The sequence below is a fragment of the Homo sapiens genome, chromosome X, assembly GCF_000001405.40.
Source record: "Homo sapiens chromosome X, GRCh38.p14 Primary Assembly".
Classification (NCBI taxonomy): domain Eukaryota; kingdom Metazoa; phylum Chordata; class Mammalia; order Primates; family Hominidae; genus Homo; species Homo sapiens.
In genome coordinates, this window is record NC_000023.11 from 120,248,864 (window position 1) to 120,268,910 (window position 20,047).

Here is a 20,047-nt window from a genome sequence, read left to right on the forward strand (position 1 = left end):
TTCTGTTGCCAGCCTCAGTGATGTAAATGCTGGTACAAAATAAATTGCATTGTGCCTTCCAGTTTACTGAGAGCTGACCAACAAACATGATATCTAGAGTGGCATCTATTGCCACTGTGATCTGTATTTCAAAGATATGTCTCATTTTAGTTTTCATCAATTAAGCCACTGAAAGATAAATAGATCCTAAACTTTCAAGATATACTTTGTTCTAATTACTAAGATTTTTTTTTTTACTACTAAGTTTTGGGGAGGATAACTCAGAAAAATGGTTATTAAGTACTCAGTTGCCAGGAAAAATACTAATCTGCCTTAGTTTATTTTACAACAGCATACTTCTATTTGCCATGAAATATCTTTATAGTAAACAATGAAACTTTTCATAATGCTAAGTCCTAATCAAAAATCAATAATGCAATAATTCCCACATAGTTTGTTTTCCCACAATACAAAATCTTGGAGAAGAGCTTAAGGAATTGCATATTTCCATGTGAAATACAGCTATATTATACCACTTTGATGTTTTATTATACCATGTGGCTTTACTTTATTGAGGAGGATGAAGAATAGATTAGGGATAGGTAGATGAGATGATGACATCCATGTCTGATTTCCTGTCAGAGAAAATTAGATATAGTTACATCTGTTTTCAGTCTAATATCCTGATGGACATTTTCAGCAAGATTTTTTAGGAAAGAAGCACAGGAATTCCACTGCAAGGTATTAATAGGTACAAATTTAAGATTTTGGAAATGAATGCAGTATTATCCTATATATATCTTTTTAAAAAGATAATGAAGGTAGTGAATGGCCTTAATTATGGCAGAAAAAAAGTTACTATTTGGTTCCTTAGTTGAATACGATCAATAACCAGCCTAAAAGGGAAACATTTTGCTCTCCAAACACCCATCCTGTTGCTTCATTTATTATGGTACTCAGTTGGAAGGGTATTACCAGAGGATTTTAAAAAATTATGTAACTCACAATGTATTTTTTCGGTCATTAAACAATCACTGAACACATACTATGTGTCAGACACTAAAGCCCTCTGAAGATGAAATGTTATGGAAATAGTAATAATAAAAAATTAAAATAGTAACAATAAAAAATTAAAAATGCAAGTGTTAATATTATTAATCTTTCAAGATACAGGTCAAATGACAGCATTCAATTTGCTATTCTCTTCTCTCTGCTTCTACACCTTGTACAAATATTTTTGTCCATGTTTGTGTACCTACCTACTGAGCTCCCTAAAGAGGTAGAGACCTTTGGGTTATTCATTTTTGTATTCCCGAGAGCCTAACATAGGGTTTTTGCTACAGATCAAGCAGGGGGTCAGTAAATGCTAGTTGGAATGAGGGAATTAACATAGTACTGCACCATTTAGTATTCAATTAAGAAGATAGTTGTCCAAACACTAAATTTCTTTCTTAAAAGTAGTTACTGTAATGTAGTTGCTCTCTTGTTATCCCAGAACTTGAATTACCATAAGAAGTTGTGAATTTCTATTTGATTGTATGTATTTTGATTATATTTCAAGATGGTTTATCATCTAGCAAACAGTCTAATAGAGCAGATTCAAACTTGCAAAATAAATGAAACCTGTATAGTCTCTAAAAGTTTGTATGCCCTAGAAGTTCACATTGAATTTCGATGAAAACGACTCGCTTCCCTTCCATCCAATTGCTTGCGACTGTCTTACCCGATCTTTCCCTTTCCTTTTTTCCCACCCGTTAGCCCTCCGGAAAGAGCCGAACACACAAGAGCTTCCCAGTCTTCCTCCGCCCCCTTGCGGAAAGAACCGAAGGCAGAGCACGGCGCCGAAGTGGAGCCGCCTCAAGCTCGGGCCCTTCCGGACCACCCCGGCCTGCGCTCGGAAGAGGAGGGCGCCTTTGGCTTCAGCGCTTCGCCCCCGCGCTGTGCCCTCTGTCGGCGGCGTGGGGCAGCTGTAGCAGCGTTGGCGGCAGGAGGCGGCGGCCGCGTCGACGTCGACCCAGACTGGAGCGACGTTTAAAGAAGGGGCAGAATCGCTGGGGAGTGCGGCTTCTTCTTGTTGGGGGACTCCCAGCCTTCCGCGCGTCCGGAGGAGGAGAAGCGGCGGCGCCGGGAAGCAGGTGAGGACCCGGCCCCAATCAGGGAGGGGGCGAAGGAGCGCGCTTGCCTTCTCCGTCCCTGGGCCGCGCCTGCGTTTGCATTCGCCTCACTTGAACCAGGAAGCGGCAGAGTCGGAGGCTCAGCTCCTCCGGCTCTTTCTTTGTGTGGGCCGGGGAGCGAAGGAGGGGACGAGCCGCGAGGGCCGCGGCGCGGTCCCCTTCGCCGTTAGGGGCCGAGGGGCTGCCGGTGCCCTGGGTAGGCCCCGGGGCTTGGGGAATCCATCACAGAGACCCACTTGGCTTTTCCCTCGCCCCTCTCGCTGCTTTTTTGTGCCTCTTTTACTCCCCTAGCCCCTACTTTGATTTAGAGCTTTTCTGCCAGGCCCATCCTCCCCTTCCGTCCCCTTCCCGGGGCACAACAATGCCGCCTGCTTCGCTTCATCCCCCCCCCAACACCCCACCCTGCCGTTCGCCACCTTCTACTTTCCCTGGTACCCCATATTCCTCCCGCCCTCACTCTGCTGTTTGTACCTCCGTCTGTATTTGCAAGAAGCTTGCTTTGCACGTGAATTGGGGTTAAAAACCTCGGTTGCAGCTGGCAGGGTCCATATGGGGAAGAGGGAGGTGGAGGAAGGGAGATGAGGTTCAGCTGCCGCAGGGAGCCGCGTGTCGGTTTGTTTCACTCCCTCGCGGATGGCTTTTATCTCTTTCCACCGTCACCAGCTCCTCCGAACTGGCCCTCGGTCAAGGGTTTCACAGTGATGTGGAATGGCTTTTCCACAGTCGAATCGCATATCTTCGGAGTGGGTTCAGACCGACTTGTGCTGTCTCTGGGGCCACCCTGAGTGGGAGGAGGGGGACACATAAACGAAACGAAACCGAGTCCCAGTGTCACCTGGACACGTACATTTGACGCATTCCCATATTGGAAGAACCCGGGAGCAAATGACAAAAATTGCGTGCCGTTTTCAGAAAACCTGTCTTTCCACTTAATATCGACTTCTGTCGAAATGCCCGTATTTCGGAAGCCCTGGTTTTTGGCAAACTGTCCAAAGGTCACCCTTTCTGATGATGAATGCCTTTATGGTAACCTGGAATTCCTTGGTACTGTTAACATGCAACACCTTCTAATAATGTTTTAAATCTTGATTTTTAGACTTTTTGCCTGCTGTTTGTTCTTAAGGTATCATTTTGAAAAATTTAGAAGGTATTTGAGACAGAACTGCCCTCCACCTGTATATAACTTAAGCATTGTGACATCGACACCCTTTTGGTAACTTCAAAGGGAGAGAATATTAATAAAAATATTTCTTCACTAAAAGTACTTGTCAACTAATTGTTAATATATAATATCCATATATTAAAATATATCCATATATAATATGTATGGATATTATATATTTTTAATATATGGGTTTTTTTAAACTCTGGCCTCTTTGTTACTGGAAATATCTTCTGCAAAGTGCAAAAAATGATGTTTTGCTAGTGCTACACAACAATGCATTCTACTGACATCATCCCCTTTTTCTAGAGTAGTCTATTCCAATAAGTTAATGTTTTCATTTTCACTAACTCATTTGGTGTGGAAAAAATTCTCATACCAATGCATATGATTCTTTACCAACAAAAATAAAATGTTTCGTGTTTTCTTGGAAGTGGGCATTTAGAAATGGTAAACTTTCCTTTTCCTTTGTCATATTTTTTCATGATAGTGTCTGTTGACTTCACTTGGCACTGTTTAACATTCCACCTCTGGAAATTGTAAAGATGGAGAGATGAGGGGAAGGGACAAGGGGATGAAGAAAGAGGAAAGGGTAAGAAAGATGTTTAATAGTTTATCAAGATGAGGCACCCCAATTTAAATAACAGAAAAATAATGGGACGTTGGGAGGTAATAATTGTCAGTGTTTATAAATGTCATTGGCTCCAGGGTGTAGATTCTGCATATATTCTTAAAGATTAGTTAAAATTAAGAGTATGTATTTCAGACACAGTATTGCACGCGCTGAGCTTTTCTGACATTTCAATCATTTACAGGCGAAATAACTTCTGTGTGTTCATGATGATTTTCCTTAATTTTGACAGTTAAAAGTCAACTCTTACCTCTTCTTGGAGAGAAAACCCAAAATTGGGACTAAGAAAATTAATTCTAATCTTTAAAAATCACTTAGTGGAGGTGCATGTATCTAATATTCAAAAAAAGGTGACTATGGAGATTACTGTTCAAATCTCTGTAACAATGTAAAACTTGCTCAACTCAGGAGCAAGCCATGAAATTGGACACTTGTTCCAAAAGCCAACCTGTATGAACAATTTCTGTAAAAGCCAAAAAATTATGCTGAACTTTGGTTAAAACTTGAATAAACTATTTAATGATGCTACTGCTTAAATTCTAAATAAGTACTTTTGTTTTTTCTCTCTAATCCTCTCCCATCCCCTCCTCTCTTTCTCTTAAAGGCATGGAGAGTAGAAAACTGATTTCTGCTACAGACATTCAGTACTCTGGCAGTCTGCTGAACTCCTTGAATGAGCAACGTGGCCATGGACTCTTCTGTGATGTTACCGTTATTGTGGAAGACCGAAAATTCCGGGCTCACAAGAATATTCTTTCAGCTTCTAGTACCTACTTCCATCAGCTCTTCTCTGTTGCTGGGCAAGTTGTTGAACTGAGCTTTATAAGAGCAGAGATCTTTGCAGAAATTCTCAATTATATCTATAGTTCTAAAATTGTTCGTGTTAGATCAGATTTGCTTGATGAGTTAATTAAATCAGGGCAGTTATTAGGAGTGAAATTTATAGCAGAGCTTGGTGTCCCATTGTCACAGGTTAAAAGCATCTCAGGTACAGCGCAGGATGGTAATACTGAGCCTTTACCTCCTGATTCTGGTGACAAGAACCTTGTAATACAGAAATCAAAAGATGAAGCCCAAGATAATGGGGCTACTATAATGCCTATTATAACAGAGTCTTTTTCATTATCTGCCGAAGATTATGAAATGAAAAAGATCATTGTTACCGATTCTGATGATGATGATGATGATGTCATTTTTTGCTCCGAGATTCTGCCCACAAAGGAGACTTTGCCGAGTAATAACACAGTGGCACAGGTCCAATCTAACCCAGGCCCTGTTGCTATTTCAGATGTTGCACCTAGTGCTAGCAATAACTCGCCCCCTTTAACAAATATCACACCTACTCAGAAACTTCCTACTCCTGTGAATCAGGCAACTTTGAGCCAAACACAAGGAAGTGAAAAATTGTTGGTATCTTCAGCTCCAACACATCTGACTCCCAATATTATTTTGTTAAATCAGACACCACTTTCTACACCACCAAATGTCAGTTCTTCACTTCCAAATCATATGCCCTCTTCAATCAATTTACTTGTGCAGAATCAGCAGACACCAAACAGTGCTATTTTAACAGGAAACAAGGCCAATGAAGAGGAGGAGGAGGAAATAATAGATGATGATGATGACACTATTAGCTCCAGTCCTGACTCGGCCGTCAGTAATACATCTTTGGTCCCACAGGCTGATACCTCCCAAAATACCAGTTTTGATGGATCATTAATACAGAAGATGCAGATTCCTACACTTCTTCAAGAACCACTTTCCAATTCCTTAAAAATTTCAGATATAATTACTAGAAATACTAATGATCCAGGCGTAGGATCAAAACATCTAATGGAGGGTCAGAAGATCATTACTTTAGATACAGCTACTGAAATTGAAGGCTTATCGACTGGTTGCAAGGTTTATGCAAATATCGGTGAAGATACTTATGATATAGTGATCCCTGTCAAAGATGACCCTGATGAAGGGGAGGCCAGACTTGAGAATGAAATACCAAAAACGTCTGGCAGCGAGATGGCAAACAAACGTATGAAAGTAAAACATGATGATCACTATGAGTTAATAGTAGATGGAAGGGTCTATTATATCTGTATTGTATGCAAAAGGTCATATGTCTGTCTGACAAGCTTGCGGAGACATTTTAACATTCATTCTTGGGAGAAGAAGTATCCGTGCCGTTACTGTGAGAAGGTATTTCCTCTTGCAGAATATCGCACAAAGCATGAAATTCATCACACAGGGGAGCGAAGGTATCAGTGTTTGGCCTGTGGCAAATCTTTCATCAACTATCAGTTTATGTCTTCACATATAAAGTCAGTTCATAGTCAAGATCCTTCTGGGGACTCAAAGCTTTATCGTTTACATCCATGCAGGTCTTTACAAATCAGACAATATGCATATCTTTCCGATAGATCAAGCACTATTCCTGCAATGAAGGATGATGGTATTGGGTATAAGGTTGACACTGGAAAAGAACCTCCAGTAGGGACCACTACATCTACTCAGAACAAGCCAATGACCTGGGAAGATATTTTTATTCAGCAGGAAAATGATTCAATTTTTAAACAAAATGTAACAGATGGCAGTACTGAGTTTGAATTTATAATACCAGAGTCTTACTAAACTCCTTTGAAATACTAGAAAGTTTTGTTTTGGATGATGGGGCAGGGGTTTCAGAAGATCTGTAAAACAAATTAAGGTGCGAACAAGTTAATTTGATCTGCCACATTATCTGAAGGAAGTGTAGTGGGATTTTTGTTGATAATTTTTAGAAGCAAATTTTCCTGAAAGTTTTGAGTAGAGGTGAGACCCCCTCCCCAAGTATCTGTTTATATAGTTAGTTTTCAGCTCATTTAAAAGAGGCAAAAATTAAAAGCTTGGAGAGATAGTTTCCTGAATAGAATTTGAAGCAGTCTGAATGTTCTTTGAAAATAACTGGAGTTATTAGCATACCCTAGTACATCTTACAGCTTTCCCCTTCCATGTTAGCACTTTACTGCTGAATTCTCAATTTTCTTAACATTGAGACAATAAATGTGTGTTTTGTCTTGTATATGGCATAAAGAGTAAATAAGTTTTAGAGTTGTTCTGGAAAATGTCAGAATAAGTCAGTACTTGGGTTGTGTAATCTGCTAGTCCAAGCGAACAGCAACCTCCTGCTACCCTCCCTCTATGAAAATAGCCATGCAGACAAGTCTCTCATCTGAAGAACAAATTAGATTTAGCTAATTAGAATTAATCCTGGCTTTCATTGCCATAGTCTGTAAAAGACTTTGGTGGCTAGACCACTTTATACCTTCGCAGTGTGGTCTCTGGGGGCAAAAAACTAATGAAAACAATCTCTGTAATGGCAGATAGGAGGAGATGAAAAGTTCTGTTGCATGGATTTTTAATTCTCTGGCTACCACATAGTAGAGAATGGAATGAAGATTTCCTTTTGGCTTCTTAAGGTTAAAAATATTCCCATGAACATGAAAATTTTCAAATTTTGAATCTGAAAGCCACCAAATGTATCTTTATGTATAAATCCTTGTAAATGATAGATTCCATGGGTGAGACTTTACATATTTTGGGTGGGAGGCTACTGGCATATATTTTTAAATGTTCATATTGCGTAGAATCTCCACTAGGAAGTCTTTATTTGAAATAGTTGAATCAGTGATCTAGTATTTTCCTTTCGGCAAGATTTGTTAGGTTTTTACCCCTTCTAAAATAAGTTTTATTCCATCTGCAAATTGCTGCAATATTATAGTAATCAGAAACTACATAAGGAATGTTATATAGGCTTGTCAGTTCCCATTTTTCTTGACAACAATAAATACCACTTTTAAAAATGACACATATTTAAACACTTAGAAAATAAAGTTAACACTTACTGAAGTGCTAGTACTAAACTGTGCTAGTACTAAAAGAAAACAGGTTGGAACATACATATAGCCTAGCATTTATAACAGAATTGTTGAACGTCTGTAAATGATTTTTTTTTTTTTTGCAAAGGAAAAAATTGATACTGGAAAAGATTGTTGTGCATAGTTATTAGTCATTTGTAACCTTGCTTAAGTATTTCTTAGTCCAACATAGATATTTTCTTTCTCCTGACCATGTATTTTAAAATATAGTCTATTTCTTGACTTTGAACTTAAAGCTTTAATCATAATTTCTCATGTATACATCGTTCTTCTGATGGTAAGCTGGATTTGAAGGTAGTGGTTTCAGTGTTTCTTAAGTTGGTAGCTGAGGGTATCAGGCATCAGTTCATGCAATAATACAAGAAAAAAAATCCTTTGCTTGCCAAGAGGTAGAGTGATGTGCATTTATCTGTTTTCTGTTCTGTAAGTCTAGACCTTCAAACCATTTGTAAACTAACCCCTGGGAAATTTGAAATTACCTGATAACTTAAGACTCTGTGATCTCTGGAATCACCATATGTTTCTTTTTTGTGTAGATATTAATAACATTACTCTTTGACTATAGTGTGCACTCTGAAATGTACTCAGTGAAAATTTGTTTTGAGTTTCATTAATGCTATTTCACCAGTTAGACATAATTACTTCTACCGATGTGAATGATACGGATGCCGGCAGAGCTTCCAGATCTTTCAGACTCAACTGCTAGGTCAATTAGTTTGTCATAATAAAACTTGGCAGATTCTACAAGTCTATTATGACAAACCAGGAACTAATTCTATAATGGAAAACTATCCATTCTGAATAATAGGTATGTAATTATTTGCTGCTGCTGCTGTGCTCTGTAAATTCTGAATATGACATTTAAACTCTGTGCCTACTAAAGGTATCTTCTGGAGTTTTTGGGAGGAGAGAAACTGGAAAATTAAATTGTATTTTTGCCAGAAGACTCTTACTTGCATGTGTCTCAGGGTCTTCAGTTTTTCTATAAGTTTCCATATCCAAAGTTCAGAATTCATGTGAAATACTTCTTTGGGGCAAAAGTCCTTCATTCCTGGTATTTATTGGATTGGAAATCTGTAGCAAGATGCTGTTTAAAATTACCATATTGTTTTTTTATCTTATACTTAGCTCTCTGGCTATTGAACTTCCTTTTCTTGTTTGAAGTTAGCTTCAAATTTGCTCCTATGCTAAATTACCTGTAAATATTCTGGATAGGAACTACTTGAAATAGTAATTTGTTAAAAGATATGACAAAATGAAAATGCTTAAACTACAGAAATTTAAAAATGCCATAACAATCTTGCGAGACTAACTTTAAAATATACTTTAAATGATTATTATGATTTTGGTGGTAACGATCCCCCACACACAACCACTATGAAGAAATAATGCCGCATTTTTCCCCCATTGTACCAAAAAGATAAAAAAATGGTAAACACTGATCAAGGTATTTTGTATTGTCAAGGCATGCATATTCTAAAGAATTAAATGCTAACTTAACAGCACTGGCTTTCTGGCTGGTCAACTATATGAAACCTTGTTCATTCCTCCGAGTACTGTAATGTTCACACTTGTACAATCTTCCCTGTCATGACTTTAAGTTCTACTTTTCATTAACCATGGCCTGATATTAGTTCTTAGAGCTTCTTGTGGCAAAAATAAAATGATTTAATTCTGATGTTTGAGTGCGTGTTTTACAAGATTGTCTTTCAGAAATTATATGGGTTTTTATATTGTTTTTCAATTTTTATAGCAGGAGACTGGGGCTGTATTTCTGATGACAGCACGGCAAAATTTCCCACTAGGTTTTATATGTTGGTTAAAAATGTCCCCTTTTATCTTGAACCCTAATAGTCAAAAGTGAGTCAGCTGCTGTCAGTTGCTTTAGAGCGTTTGCTGTACTTTTATAGCTACCTTGACACAAGTGGATAACGAGGGGAGGATAGTTTTATTCATTTGAAACATCACAAAAGCAGTCTGAGTTTTCAACATGGCAGTGATACAGATTTTAAGCAACATCCAGTTTATACAGTTTCTGGATTAATATTTTAATGTTTCATGCCCAGTTCAGTACTTTAAAGCAGAATTAGGAATAAAGCAGTAAATATTACAAAATGCAGTCAAGATACATATTGGAAATACAAATCCATTCATTACAGCAAATGTTTTGCAAAAGAGTAAAGCAGCAAATATTAATTTTTCTAAGGTAACATGCACTTTGTATAATTCAATGTAATAAAAAAGCTGCTCAAATTAAGTGTTACAAAATCTATACTGTTTCAGGTTATTTTGTAAAGTAAGAAAAATACATAGAAATGAGCCATAGAATCTTAACACTTTAAGAAATGTGATAAATGTAGGATAAACTGTGTAATGGTGCCTTAAAAAATTAAATATGGACATTCACTAAAGCCAACGGTCAAATGTAAATGGCAAAAAAATTCATTGAGTATTACAAGTTGATATTTGTTTAGTTAGTCAGTTGGGTATTAGTCTCTTTTTGAAATCCAGTAGAATTTTAATATGCTCAGAACTGTAAAAAATCATAGTAATTTTGTATAACATAAAAGGATTATAGTTTTTCGGATTCAAAATCTGGATAAGAACATTCATGATGCTGAAAGTTAAACTGAATATCTTGCAAACATTTACTGTTAATGAGAGAGTGCACTTCTTGTGCCTTGATTCTTGATGGCTAAGTGTCTACAAGGTAGATGGGAGCACCAGCATTTGCGCTACCTCTAATCCATCAAGTTGGGAGGTAGCAAAATTGGCCGGAAAATTTTCCAGTGTGTGTTCTGTGTTTGGAGAACTGTCTAATTAGGTACCCTCCTGTAGCCCCTGTATTTTTACGTTATAAAGTATAGGATTATCAATCTTCCTTTAAATCAATTCTCAGGTTAACATAAGATCACAATGAAGGTGTTCATTCTGAAGTGAAGGCATGGGTGCAAAAGCTTTAAACTCATCAGGTTGATGGTTTAAAGCTATGTGTAATTAAAAGAACTGTACAAATACCTACCACGGTGTGCCAGATGGATTTTAAATCTGCCGTAACACTTAAATATTTGTCAAGTTGGCTACGTTTGAGGTTTTGCAGACTTGAAGCGGCATTGTAACACTTTCATAATCTTGAATGCTGTCATGACTGGTCTCAACAGACAAAAGGACCGATAAGACCAGTGGCATTAAAATACAGATGACTCTTTTGGGGTGGGGTGCAGGATACGTGCGGATTGCTGGGGTTAAGCACAATATTTGAAGATTAAATAGTCACAAAGATTAGTAACAATTCATATCACGACCCAAGAACCTAATTTATAACATTTTTAAACTCTGAATTACAACCATAAGATTTATATCTCCTGTAGCAAATGTATTTTGTAATAATGCAACATGTAGTAGAACCACTGTCTCCTAAGTGATCTACTTAAAACATCTCACATGTTGCTGTGTATTTCAGTGTTTCCGGAACAATACATCCTGTTCCCCACTACTGAAGATGCAAGAATATTGCACTTTTCCCTTTAGGAGGTACCAATAACAAAAGCTGAGCTGAGTGATCACAACAGCCATTTTTACAATACTCACAGAGAAGGAAGGAGTAAGAGATACGGGCAGTCTTTTTCAACATCCAGACACAAGCAAACAAAATCTTAGCCAGAACTCTCTGTATTGGAACTACTGTGTAGCCCCATCAGCTGGGAAATTGTCCTTAGGGACTGACTTTAGGGGTAGGGAAAGATAGGGCCTATAAACCAGGTGCTTCAACCTAGGTGCTGGGGTGGCAATCTGCCAAGGGCCCGAGGGCAACACTCCTTTACATAAAGTGAAAAAGATGGCAACCACACTTCTGCTGAATACAGAGGTGGAGCATAGGGTAATGCAAGTCCAAACAAGCTTCTTGCTGGGCTGGCTCCCCAGTCTTGCTTAGAGAATGTGAGCTGCCCTTCTGTGCTGCGTTCAGCCTGACCACCCCTGCTCTGCACTAATAATGAATAAGCTTCGTCCCTATCTTTCCCTAGCCTGGCAGGCCATTGTAAAACTTTATGCATAAGAGTCACACTTTAAATTTTGTACCCTACACACTTCCACTGAAGCAGAAATACAAAAGCCACAATAATCTCAATAGCCAGCAGGCATTCCTCTTTAGGGACTGTAAGGTGGTGGCTTTTCAAAAGGTGGATAGTAGGGTGGAGAGTAACGGGGCGGTGCACTTGAGGACCACATGTAGCTGGGTGAGGGAGAGGCAGACTGGGGCTCATCAGAAAGTCCAGAGGGAGGGGAGGATGGAAAGACACCGGAATGCTGTGTGATAAAAAGAAAACGTTAGTTTAGGCAGTGAGTTTGCAATTCCCTGAACAGTCATTACTATTTAAAAATGAATATGGGCCAAAGCTTTTTTTCTATTTGGAAGAACAGAGAGCTCCCAAACCTCACAGAGTTAATGAGCCTGGAACAGGTGGTTCTCTCAGTCACTCAGGCTACAAGCCACCTGCAGAAATAGGGAATCCTCCTCTGCAACCCCTTGCAGCCCACATCCAATCAATTGCCAAATCCTGTTGCTTCTACTTCTGTGTTGTCTCTTGAATCCATCACTACCTTTTTTACATTTATAACTCAAGCCTCCAATACCTCTCCCTTAAGCTATGGCAACAATGTCCCAACTAGTCTTCAAAAGGTAATTTTTGGCTTTGAGAACATTTAATGATATTAAGCCAGTGATCCCTGGGAAAGTCTTTGCTAAAAGAGTATATCACAGAGAGGTAGTACAGTGGTCAGGAGCCCCTCTCATAGACAAGAAACTAAGGTCAGAGAGGTGAAATAGCTTGCTCGGATCTGGAGTCTTCTGACTCCAAGTCCAACATTTTCTACTCCACCTTAACTGCTGCCCCCTCATCCCCAAGTGCAGAGTAGGTTGGAGAGCAAAGAGTAACAAAGGCATGGAGGTGAGAATGAGGAGCAATATGTCAGGTTGCAGAGACACTGAGTATTCAGTTTTACTTTGTGTTGTCTTACTTTGGGAAAGGAATGGAAATGAATTTTTTAAAATATGCAGTGAATTGGCAGGAGTCATTTGCCCCTTTCTCTCCCTGGCCCACGTATATCCTTGACTCTAGTGATTTCCCTGCTGAAGGAGAGGTGGCCTGTTGTGTTTGTTGCTGTATCCTCCAGAGCTCAGAACAGTACTTGCCAAGTAATAGGTGCTCAATAAATCTTGAATGAGTGAATACAACTTCAGGAGCATAGTAGATGAACTTGGCATGCTTTTAAAAAATAAAATCTAGGCCGGGCGCGGTGGCTAACGCCTGTAATCCCAGCACTGTAGGAGGCTGAGGTGGGTGGAGCACCTGAGGTCAGGAGTTTGAGACCAGCCTGGCCAACATGGCGAAACCCCATCTCTACTAAAAATACAAAAATTAGCTGGGAGTGGTGGTGGGTGCCCGTAATCCCGGCTACTCAGGAGGCTGAGTCACGAGAATCGCTTGAACCTGGGAGGCAGAGGTTCCAGTGAGCTCAGATCACGCCACTGCACTCCAGCTTGGGTGACAGAGTGAGACTCCGTCTCGAAAATAAATAAATAAATAAATAAAACCTATGTCCAGATTTCTAAGCCTTGCTTGAGACACAGAAAAATCTTCCTTACCACATAATGTTAAGACTGAGAAGAGATGCTAGCTGCCATCATCCCCTGCCTCCCAAATCCCATCCATTATTTCACTCCAAAGAAATGGCAGGGTCGTAGAACCTGGAGAGCCCTTAAAGGCAAAACAACCTGAGGCAGTGGACTCAAGACAATCTAGATTCCTTCTTAAAAACTCAATTTTCCTCCTCCCTCCAAGAAGATACCCTTTGTTAAAAACATCGGTATAGTGATTTCCTGATTTTCCATCTTGCACCCTTCAAACTCTCCCTTCCTCCTCCTCTCCCTCCCTCCTGTTCTGTTGCTTTCCTCAACTAAGAACTCTCTCCTCTTAACCAGAGAGGGGAACAAAGACCCACCAGGGCAAAGAATCTCTGTGCCTGGGCATATGGCACTCACTGCCTCTCTAAATCCCACTACAGAGATGACATGAGAGGCAGCAGGCCAGTTTTAGGTGTTCCCAGCCACAGAAGGGAGAGGCAAGTTTCCTGAAGTGAAGCTAAAGGCAGTTCTGTCCTGAGAGGCATTAAAAGGCTTCTGTGGGCAGCAGCTGCTGTGGGTGGCAGTTGTACACTTTGATAATAAAAGGGGGTGGTACAACGGCCCTTGGGTTTTCACTTCTTAGTTTTGTGTTTGAGAAGTATGGGGGGAGGGGGTCATGATTCTCACTTCCCTTTGAGGATGCTGGGAGTCTTAAGGATAAAGCTGAAGGGTTCCTGGCAGAGCTAGGGAGCTAACTGGCTGCAGTCCACACACCCTTGGGGTTTAGCGGGGGAAAAGGCCCATAGTACCAGTGCATAGTTTCCTAGCAACAGGCAGGCACCTTGGGAAAGATCTGGCTTTGTCGCAGCCAGGGAGTTGGCCTGGTGTATTCTGGTTCCTGCCTGAGAGTGTGACTTTAATAATGCTGTGGGCAGCTCAGGAGAACAGAACTTTGAATCCTTGTGCACCACCAAGCACGAAGAGCATCTAAATAGCCTACTGCTGGGCCTAGTCAGCTCCAGCTTCCTGAGCGGCTTCTTAGAGGCTGGGGTGGCCAACAGGCTGATGGTGCTTGAAGAGGAGCACCACCCTTTCAGGGACACAGATGGCTTTCCTCTTCCACCTTAGCCTGCCTCCTGCCTGCCTGATGGCTGACCCACACCCTTCAAGATCAATGCGCATTTCCGTCAGGGCATGCTTCTCTCCAGGAGCCTTGTGGGACAGTGACTTCACAAAGAGCCCAGGAACTGGCTGGTGATAATTACTAGTTAAAGACACTGTGTCCCAAGGGTAAAATCCCAGCATCTGTCGGTATTGTGCATTCCCTCTCTGTTCTGCCCCTGGAAGCAAAGGCTAGGGAGATGGAGAGAAGAGTGGGTAAAAGAAAGAGGAAAAAAAAAAGGATGAGTCAGGAACAAGGGAAAGGAGGGGACGAAAGGAAAGACTTGACAGCGGGGTGGCGGGCGGGTGGCGGGGGGAAGAAAAAGTTGAGTGATAGCAACAACAGCCTTCTAAGGCTCTCAGCAACCTGTGCCATAAACTGTACCCTCCTAGGATCAAAGCAATCCTTTTAATAAATGGGCCCAATTTATAATGAGTAACTTTTAGTGGCTAGGGTGAAACCTAGTGTACCCTCGTGATTAAATAAAGAGGAAAAATAGAGGCACTTTTGAATTGCATAGGTTGAGACTTTCGTTTTAAGCTTAAACTTGGCTGGTCACCAAATGGATAGGAAAGGGACCATTCCATGGTTAGAGTAAAGTAGGGGTACTGGCCCAGTATGCCAGACTGGGAAATATTGCTGGGAACCTTGAGGGGTTTATAAATAGCTGGGTTTAATTTCCCAGCAGAAGTGAAAACTGATGCTTTGTACCCTACAGATTTTGGACTACTTGGCTAAAGCTGAAGGGGTGGTGGGGAAATAGTGCAAAGGACAAGAGAAATGAGTGTTGGACAGATGAGCGAGGAGGCAAAGGTAGTCTCAGCTTATATCCTTCCTGCTTTGGAGTATGAGGAGTTCCTGAGAAGCAAGGACACCCTGGAGCCCAGTGTTTGAAAGAATCCAGTTTCTCTAAGCTCAGCACTCAAAACTTCCTCAGGGCCAGCTGATCAGACCCAAATCCTTGCTCATGTCTGACCACAAGAAGTGTTTCCCAAGCTTCCTCACTGGACAGCTACCCAATAAGGGTATGACTTTGAGGGGTTAAAACAAAACATTATAAGTCTTTTTTCCTCATCCTCCTATTAGCCTCAGGGTCAAAAGGAAGTTGAAATCACCAAACCCAAAGTCACAGAAATAGTCCTACTTGGAAATAACCAAAATGGGAAGTCATTCAGAAGAAAGTCTAGAAAGGTCCATTTTCTGGCTGTAACTTAGGTCATTTTACAATCAGAAGAGCATGAGGGAGCTCTGGCCTTTTGGGGGTGGGTCTGTGCTTCAGGTGGTTTTATTGTCAGATCTGGAGTGCATTTGCTGACTCCTTTTTATTTATCTGGGAATATAAGCAGACGTTTCCTGCCCTCTTGACTTTCCTTTTTTTTTTTTTTTTATACAGCGCTTCTCTCTTGTTGCCCAGGCTGGAGTGCAATGGCGTGATCTCGGCTCACCACAACCTCCACCTCCTGGGTTCAAGTGATTCTCCTGCCTCAGCCTCCTGAGTAGCTGTGATTACAGGCATGCACCACCATGCCTAGCTAATTTTGTATTTTTAGTAGAGATGGGGTTTCTCCGTGTTGGTCAGGCTGGTCTCGAACTCCCGACCTCAGGTGATCGCCCGCCTTGGCCTCCCAAAATGCTGGGATTACAGGCGTGAGCCACCGCGCCTGGCTGACTTTCTTGTGTAAAGAATGGTATTTTCGCCTATGAAACTATAAGGGAATGAAACTTGGTGAGCAAAAGAAAGCTAAACTAAAATACTAAAATGAAACCATTTAAGTTCTAGAGAGAAATCACTTAAAATCTTACCCCCTCAAGACTTAGGCTATACAATTATAAAGTCTTCAAACAGGAAATACTAAAGACATCTTGAGCCTAGGGAAAGAAGTGGGAGACATATAAAAAGTGTCCAAGCAGCCCCTGAATTCCCCTCTGAGGAATGCATGAAGGAAGGGAATCCTTTTTCAGTGGGGATCAAGAGTAAAGAGACCCTTTCTGAGGACCATGAGTCCAGTAGAAAGTATAAATATCCAGTAGAAAGTATAAATATCCCAAAATTAACTGGGGAAAGAGCTGTGCTCCGCTTAGATTCACAACTTCAAAAATCCCCCAACCCAATCTCTGGAATCAGTCAGCCCTAGATATAAATCCTTACTCTTTCACTTACCACCTCTGTGACTTTGGTGAAGTCACTTAATCTCTCCATGATTCAGTCATCTTATCTTAAAAATGGCAATTGCAAGAGTACTTCTCTTAAAGAGGTAAATGATTGAATGATGATATATGTAAAGCACTTAGCACAATGCTTAGTACATAGTAAGTACTCAGTGAATAGTAGCTGTTATTAAAAAGTAAGGGTGGGCCAGGCACGGTGGCTCATGCCTGTAATCCCAGCACTTTGGGAGGCCGAGGCGGGTGAATCACGAGGTCAGGAGTTTGAGACCAGCCTGGCCAACATGGTGAAACCCTGTCTCTACAAAAGATACAAAAAAAAAAAAAAAAATAGCCGGGCATGGTGGCACGCACCTGTAATCCCAGCTACTCGGGAGGCTGAGGCAGGAGAATCGCTTGACCCCAGGAGGTGGAGGTTGCAGTGAGCCAAGATTGTGCCATTGCACTCCAGCCTGAGCGACAGGGCAAGACTCTGTCTCAAAAAAAAAAAAAAAGGAGAGGCTTCTAACAATCCCCAAAGTCTCTGCTACAAGCCCATAGTATAGGTTTGGACTAGGTAGCTAAATCTGGATCCCTTTTCTGGGTTAGGTATGCTGTTTCCATAGCATTCTGGGTAATGTTTTCTTTACTTTTTTGTCCCCACTACTGTCCCCTGACCCCCCACCCCCAAGTCCCTAGACTAACGCAGGGACTGTCTCATTTAATTTCTATTTCCACAGCTCCTGGCTCAATGCGTGGCACATGGAACACAGAGTAAACATTGATTGAACTGAAACCAACAATCCAAGTCACCGTTGGCATTCTCAATCTTGCTTTCATTTCTGGGGTAGGATTTGAATGAGGAATGATGGCTCCATACCCAAAAGAGAGGTTTCCTATCTTATAATTTGTGGTAACCATCACCAGATGTATTATTGTCCCTACTTAAAGGGTTCATTATAAAGTGCAAATTCCTGAAATCAATGTAATTTACTTTGATATAAAAGTAGAGGAGGCCTCTTGGGCTAGACCCATGTGTGGCTCCTCTATTTAAGGATGACTTTTTATTATAGGGACCCCAAGAGAATGATGACCTTCCTTGTTTTAGCTTCAACATCCCTGCATTCTCTTGAAGAATTCCTTGTTGCCTCGGTCACTATTGAAATTATCTATGCCCTTCTTGAACATATTTTTGTTTTCCAGTCTATACCACCTATTTGGGTAACAAGTTACCTGAGTTGTCTACCTGTGTACACAGTAGGCTTTAGAACGAATTTTATCATTATATTTTCTAAGCTTTAACCCATTTATGCCTAGTGTCCCATTATTGGAACGCTAAGCTTGTGGGAGTTATTTATATCCTCCTGCTCAAGGTCATCGCCAAGGTCTGATTTTTCACAAAAAAATTTGCAACCTCTGGCATCAATGGGTTAATGGATACCTTTTTGAACTAGTACTATATTTTATAAAAGTGAACAAGTACATGTGCACACTATATGTATTATTATTGCATTATGGAGCCACAGACCTCTCTGAACGGTATCTAAACCAACCACAACAACACTTTATTCAACTTAATCAGATTTTTAAGTTTCAGTTATTTTGCCAAACTGAAGTTGAAATTAGGTTGCCCAAGGGCTTTGTATTGCCAAACTGGCTGGTTAGTTGGAAGTACCCCCAGATAGTTGTACTTTTATGTCCCCATGGAACATTCATGGTCTCTTGATCAATAGAAGCAAATTTATTATGAGTTTCCCTTCCTTAAAAGGTATTTCCTTTGGTCTCTAAAGTTTGAATTAACTAGATTTTAGTGTAACCTTGCTCTTCTATGGTCAAGGGTTTATAATCGTTATACATACCTAAAGGACCATTTCACTTGTTTGCCCAAAGTGTCTAGTTCAGTGTTCTGCATGCAATGAATTCCTTTTAAGTAAGTGCCTTTTTTGGGTCTGGTTTTCTACTAGTAGTCACAGTTCAAAAGGAAAAGGGGAAAGTGCAAATTTGTTAACACTATTTCTGACTTACGTGATAACAGGGCAAAAGGGGGAGGGGTGTTATAAAAATACTCTGTGTATTGCTCTGTGTAGTCCTAGTTAGGAGGCCTGGAGAAAAAGAATGGGACTTCTTCCTCATTACAGGTTTGATTCAAACCCTTGTGTGGCTCAGAATGCCCTTGTGTTAAGGAGCAGGATTAGGCCTCTCCCCATATCAGGGGAATGGAAAAAGCCACTGTTGCACAGGGGTCCATGGTAGTGTACTAATGAGCTGCCATTTCCCAACTAGCTTATCTTCTCCTTGGTGTAGTTTAAGGCAATTTGGGATACCTTGATCCTACCTCCCTCTCTCCCTTTTTCTTCCATCTCTCTGTTTCTTCTCTTGCGCAGCTTCCACCCGCCCATCTCTGCCATCGTTGCCTGCCTACATAGTCCTTAAGCTGGCAACCACAGGCTGCTGGCCATTAGGGAGATGCATGGCTACCTCATACATATGCAGACAATGGAAAGGTTCCATAATTGAATTTAGGGAGAGAACAAGAGAGCATGAGTGAGAACAAGGGTAATACAGAGTTCTTTTTTCTCCCAAAACATACCTGAAAGTCATAAGCAGAATATGGTGGCAGGTGAGGAGGGCTATGGTAGTAGGTATTGTAGGATGCCACTTGGGGATGAGCATAGTAAGAAACTGTTGGATGGGTATTTTCAACAGAACAGTTCAGTGCTGGGAGAGTTGGGTTCTGTAGAAAAACACAAATTAGAAACAACATAAACAGTCATCACTAGGAGAATGGTTAAATAAACTTAGTACATCTATACTATGGAATACCATGCAGCTATTGATAAACAATGATGTGGACCTATTTAGAGAAGGTTGTCCAGGATATATTTTTATGTTTTAAAAGCCATTATGTTACATTAATATAACATGATCCCAATTTATGTTTTAAAAAAAGACCCCCAAAATTATACATGTATGTATGTTTGTAAATGCAAAGAAATTAACCTGGAAGGATGCATAGCAAACTATTAACTGTGGTTTATCTCTGGGGAGCAGAGTAGAATTAGGAGGTATATAGGGATTCTTAACTTTCTACTATATATGTCAAAATGTTTACAACTAATTTGTATTGTGTCATTTTCCCCAAACTTTTTAACTTGAAAAATTTAAACCTATAGAAAAGTTGAAATCATTTGTGTGATTTTTAAAAACAAGAATTAAAAAGAAAAAATAAGACTCAAAATGCAAAACATCAAATAGAG

The 20,047-nt window shown here is 40.5% G+C and overlaps 2 protein-coding genes across 8 annotated transcripts in view, besides 1 other annotated feature; one reads left to right on the top strand and one right to left on the bottom strand.

Moving 5' to 3' along the window:
• Nucleotides 1,656–2,494: an enhancer, noted in NCBI's record as "H3K27ac hESC enhancer chrX:119384374-119385212 (GRCh37/hg19 assembly coordinates)". NCBI's record gives its function as "activates a minimal SCP1, AML or CMV promoter by ChIP-STARR-seq in naive H9 embryonic stem cells {active_cell/tissue: H9 hESC(naive)}" and the evidence as "EXISTENCE:reporter gene assay evidence [ECO:0000049][PMID:30033119]".
• On the top strand, nucleotides 1,949–9,535 carry ZBTB33 (zinc finger and BTB domain containing 33). Of its 2 annotated transcripts, NM_001184742.2 has the most exons (3): nucleotides 1,949–2,114; nucleotides 3,806–3,907; nucleotides 4,551–9,535. In NM_001184742.2, the coding sequence occupies exon 3, from the start codon at nucleotides 4,553–4,555 to the stop codon at nucleotides 6,569–6,571; it is 2,019 nt and encodes a 672-aa protein (NP_001171671.1). In that variant the 5' UTR covers nucleotides 1,949–2,114; nucleotides 3,806–3,907; nucleotides 4,551–4,552; the 3' UTR covers nucleotides 6,572–9,535. The 2 variants fall into 2 exon arrangements, with proteins under 2 accessions (NP_001171671.1, NP_006768.1); NM_006777.4 differs by lacking the exon at nucleotides 3,806–3,907.
• The window catches only part of TMEM255A (transmembrane protein 255A), a 60,029-nt gene continuing 42,551 nt past the window's right edge, over nucleotides 2,570–20,047 (bottom strand). For 3 of the 6 annotated variants that reach the window (NM_001104545.2, NM_001104544.3, NM_017938.4), the window contains 2 exons: nucleotides 19,381–19,524; nucleotides 9,787–12,165 (listed from right to left, as the gene is read on the bottom strand). In NM_001104545.2, coding sequence (NP_001098015.1) covers nucleotides 12,007–12,165; nucleotides 19,381–19,524 — 303 coding nt within the window. In that variant the 3' untranslated portion in view covers nucleotides 9,787–12,006. Of the gene's footprint in view, nucleotides 2,935–9,786; nucleotides 12,166–19,380; nucleotides 19,525–20,047 lie in introns of those variants that run through there. The other 3 variants (XM_017029619.3, XM_047442232.1, XM_047442231.1) reach the window with 3 other exon arrangements.

Coding starts and splice junctions, on each gene's coding strand:
- ZBTB33 (NM_001184742.2), top strand. CDS start 4,553: ATGGAGAGTAGAAAACTGATTTCTGCTACAGACATTCAGTACTCTGGC.